This window comes from Homo sapiens, chromosome 11, assembly GCF_000001405.40.
Source record: "Homo sapiens chromosome 11, GRCh38.p14 Primary Assembly".
Taxonomy (NCBI): Eukaryota; Metazoa; Chordata; class Mammalia; order Primates; family Hominidae; genus Homo; species Homo sapiens.
Genome location: NC_000011.10, coordinates 130,802,090 through 130,806,992, shown reverse-complemented (window position 1 = coordinate 130,806,992; position 4,903 = coordinate 130,802,090). Strand labels below are relative to the sequence as shown.

The following is a 4,903-nucleotide window of genomic DNA, read 5'->3' as shown; positions in this document are numbered from 1 at the left end:
AATTCTTTCAGCTGTAGCAAAACTGTGATTCTATGAACCACACCATTTGTTTTGTTGTCATGGAAACAGCCTGAGGCTCAATTAACCTTACTACCTACCCCAGAGGACCAACCCCGAGGCAGAGTGGTGCCCCTGCTTTAGAAGTCTCCACAGTTCAGGTGAGGGAAGCTGTGCAGGGTGGGAGGAGGGGAATGGGAATTCAGCCTGTGGGCTTTGGCATCTTTGCCCCAGCCCACTCTGGCCTAAACATGTATGTTCTTTTGAAAGGAGAGAAGGGAGGTCTGTAAACTTGGGGGGAGGGGTGATTCCTGCAATCTAAATACTGAATGAATGGAGTGCTTCTCAGCTAAGTTTGCAAATGAGAGTTATTTTTAAATGAATATTCTTTAAATAGGGGTCCATGAAAATTTTTCTAGGGACTAGTCAAGCATTGACTGTTTTAAGGGAATTAATGTTCAGATTCTCAACTTAGATGTGTATTATTTCTGCCTCATAATATACCTGCTTCTGTAGTTCACATTTCTGAACTCTTTTCTTCCCCTCAGCCAACTTCCGCTTTATAAAAACACTGTGTGCCTCTCACCCATCCTGAATCTCCCAAAGGCACATTTCTTGCACTGTGAAAACCTCCTGGGTGCCACACACAGGGACACCTCTGGAACTCATCTGTCCTGAAGGAGATTCCCCGACAGAGACGTAAGGACATATTTTCCTTAGAAAATACTGGAGGTGAAGGTATTGGACTTCATCTGGTGACAAGCCCAGGCTAAGGCTATTTATGCCTCAGCTAAGAATTTGGATTCAGAAGTGAGACAATTGTCACAGGGATGCAAGTGAACTTGTTAGATTTCGAAAATGAAGTCCAACTTTTTCTGAAAGAAATAGTCTGATATGGCTTCTTCCTACCCCCAGCCCCATTAGCCCCATGTCTGTATCAAATGCTGTTCCCATGAGTTCTGACCTCTGTGCTTCTTTTTAACGAACTTCTCAAGCCACATTGTCCTTGTCTTTACGTGCAGCCTCTAGACCAGGCCTCCCAAGGCAGGACTGCTTGTGCTGCTCACTGTGTGTTCCCAGAGCCTCGTACACAGCTAGTCGCTTAGGTCCACAGAATTTTGTTTTTAGTAGAAGATCTTACAGTCAGAGCATGACTGTGGAGTACAACGGTCTTGGAACCTGCAGACTCATTTCCATTGTCTGTGGAGGGTGACCACCTCATTTTTTTTTTTTTTTTTTTTTTTTTTTTTTTTGAGATGGAGTTTCACTCTTGTTGCCCAGGCCGGAGTGCAATAGCACGATCTCGGCTCACCGCAACCTCTGCCTCCTGGGTTCAGGTGATTCTCCTGCCTCAGCCTCCCAGGTAGCTGGGATCACAAGCATGCGCCTCCGTGCCTGGCTAATTTTGTATTTTTAGTAGAGACGGGGTTTCTCCATGTTGGTCAGGCTGGTCTCAAACTCCCGACCTCAGGTGACCTGCCCACCTCGGCCTCCCAAAGTGCTAGGATTACAGGAGTGAGCCACCGCGCTCGGCCAACAACCTCGTTTTTAAGGTGATGGCATCCAGTCCTTCACTGAAGGCTGCAAGTGGCTAGACATGAAGAAGAGTGTCAACGAAGTGTCAGACTCTGTAAAATGTTCGAAAAGATTTATTCTGAGCCAAATATAAGTGGCCATGGCCTGTGACATAGCCATCAGGAGATCCTGAGAACATGTGCCCAAGGTGAGTGGGGTGCAGCTTGGCTTTATACATTTTGGGGAGACATGAGACATCAATCAAATACATTTAAGATTTACATTGGTTTGGTCCAGAAAGGTAGGACAACTTGAAGGTGGGGACGGGGGCTTCCAGGTTATAGGTAGATTTAAACTTTCTCTGATTGGCAATTAGTTGAAAGAGTTTATCTAAAGAGCTGGAATCAATAGAAAGGAATGTCTGGGTTTTGATAAGAGGTTGTAGAGACCACAGTTTTGTCATGCAGATGAAGCCTCCAGGTAGCAGCCTTCAGAGAGAACAGATTGTACATGTTTCTTGCCAGACCGAAAGTCTGCTTTAATGCTAGAGAGGTTTAATGAGGCATTTCCAACCCTCTCTTCCTGTCGCAGCCTCAACCAGTCTTTCAGGTTAAATCTTAGAGTGCCCTGGCTAAAGAGGGCATTCGGATGGTTGGGGGTGGGGGGCTTATAATTTTATTTTTGGTTTACAGGAAGCAAAGAGTCCATGAAAGAGGCACAGAGACTTTCAGGCTGCACCAGCTGTCCAGCCTCTCATTTCCCTCCCAACTCCATTCTTCACCTCTCCAGCAACGCAGGCCAGTCTCACTCAGGTTTTTGTTTTTATTTCGTGGAGACAGGGTCTCGATATGTTGCCAGGTAATCCTGGGCAACAAGTGATCCTCCAGCCGTGGCTGCCCAAAGTACTGGGACTCCAGGCACGAGCCACTGCGCCCGGCCTTGTCTCCATTTTGACCTCAGCTGGCAGACTCAGGGCACTGTTTCTCCATCTGGAGCCCATTGGGAGCTCCTTCACCAGCACACTGAGCCCTGCCGAGGTGATCCACACATGTCTGGAAGGGGAGACACTTAGAAAGTGCCTGTGCCCCACAGCTGTGGGTGACTCTGATACTCACTCAGGTAAGAGCTCCCAACGGTTTTCAGCCCATTTCCCCTAGGGCTTACTGGGTGTAAGGCCTAAGGAGAATCAGCAAGAATCCGAAAAGGAGGCTGAAAATCTAAGAACAATTGGAAAAAACCAGTAGCCTTAATTACTTTACTTTGCTTTCATTTTTATTCAGTTTTCGTTTTATTAAATAATTTTCCTTCCACACAGATATGTGTCCCCTTTAGCTGACTGACCTGTGAGAAATGAAACCAACATGTTTTCTCACACTTATGCTAAATAGTTCTGGGACTAAATATATGCTCCACTTTTATCAATAAACAAGACTGTGTCTAGGCAAAACAAATCTTAGTGACTTGCTCCAGAAAATATTTGTTCCTGAAAGATAAGATGGTGAACCAATAAAAACAGCTTACTTAACAAGACTAATAGCTTATTCAATAAGACGTACTTCAAGACCTCTCCTCACTGGTCTCATTAACCCAAAGCTAACATGCATCAACTCTACCCAATCTCAACTGGTTCTCTACCTTTCAGGACATGATTTAACATCACCCTGTCCAAGTTCTAAAACCCTGTAACATACTTAGCCTTTTTGAGATACTGGGAACACTCTGTCAAGATGGCGTTCTTCCAGGCCGGGCGCAGTGGCTCATGACTGTAATCCCAGCACTTTGGGAGGCTGAGGTGGGGGAAATCACGAGGTCAGGAGTTCGAGACCAGCCTGACCAACATGGTGAAACCCCGTCTCTACTAAAAATACAAAAATTAGCTGGGCATGGTGGCAGGCACCTGTAATACCAGCTATTCAGGAGGCTGAGGCAGGAGAATCACTTGAACCCAGGAGGCAGAGGTTGCAGTGAGCTGAGATGGCGCCACTGCACTCCAGCCTGAGAGACAGAGCAAGACTCCCATCTCAAAAAAAAAAAAAAAATAGACGGTGTTCTTTAATGTTGCAGTAAGTCTGACAAACTCAGATTTTTTCTAATAAGCAAGTTTTTCTGGAGGTCTTTTGAAGGGGGGCAGTGGTGAACATCTGGGAGGTCTAAGAATAAACTAAGATGACCGTTAGATTGCAGGTGAAGGGAAGGAATGATGGAGCAGAATATAGGATATAGGAGCACTACTAACATCATCAGACCAAAGCAAAGTTTATGACCATAAGCATTCCTGAAAATGCTTCCTATTGCTGAGTCAAGCTAGGAAACAAAAAGGAATTCCACTTAAAATTTTTATCTGAACATAGAAATTTCACAGAATGCAAGCACCAACCTAAGCACTTGGAGCTATCCTTCCTTAGGCATCTGTTTATAAAACCATTTTAGATATACAACACTATAAGCTGCTGTGGGAATGATCTATTTAAGTCATTTTATGATTAGAGACTCCTAGCTGAAATATCTTCGCTTAGCACCTGCTTAGTGATTTGGCTGCATCTAGAACCCAGGTCTCCTAGTGTATATTTAGGGAGAGGCAGAGCCCTAGAAATGTGATTAGATCAGAGAGAAGCATACTCTTCAGAATCTTAAAATCCCAAAGAGGCAAAATGCTGCCTCCTTGGCCTACTGTGGGCCTTTGCAAATGCTAATTTCTCTGTTTGGAATGCTCTCTACAACTAGTATCTTATTCTGGTTAATTCCTTCTTATCCTGGAGAATCGACCTAAGGCTTATCCGGGCCACACAGAGCAAGTCAGGCTCCCAGTTATTTTCTCTCATAGCAGACTTTGCTTCTTTGTAGCACCTCTCAGAATTGTAGTTAAATGATTAATTGGACATTTATTCCATAGGATCTGCCTCCCTCTTTGGAATGTAAATTCCAAGAAGACAGAGACTATCAGCTATATAGGCTGAACATTTTATCTCAAGCATATTATACCATGCTGCACAGAGGAGATGCTCCATAACTATTTATGGAATACATGCAATTTCCTTCCTTTTCAACTCACTTCTTAAAATATTTTCAAAATCTTATTATCTCTTCAAGGCCAAAGTTAAATGTCATCTCCTCAGTAAACCCTTTTTCACAACTGTCCAACATTTAAATTGGTCATTTTTTCCTCTGCATGCCCAAAGCCTGTTATACTTAAGACATAACACATGGCTGACCCTTAAGAAATTGCTGTTTTCTTTAAATAAGCCAAGGTGGTCGAAGACCTGTAATCCATGTTATTAAGTCTAATAGTTTCTGCTTTCATCCTTCTTGTTAATATATAAATTCCTGGAACATAAGAACCACAGTTGTTCATCTCCAGTATATGAAACAGTTAGTATAGGGCCTGGTACAC

At 43.9% G+C, this 4,903-nt stretch overlaps 1 annotated feature.

Annotated features, from left to right (window-relative positions):
* Positions 1,936-2,435: an enhancer, noted in NCBI's record as "H3K4me1 hESC enhancer chr11:130674453-130674952 (GRCh37/hg19 assembly coordinates)". NCBI's record gives its function as "activates a minimal SCP1, AML or CMV promoter by ChIP-STARR-seq in naive H9 embryonic stem cells {active_cell/tissue: H9 hESC(naive)}" and the evidence as "EXISTENCE:reporter gene assay evidence [ECO:0000049][PMID:30033119]".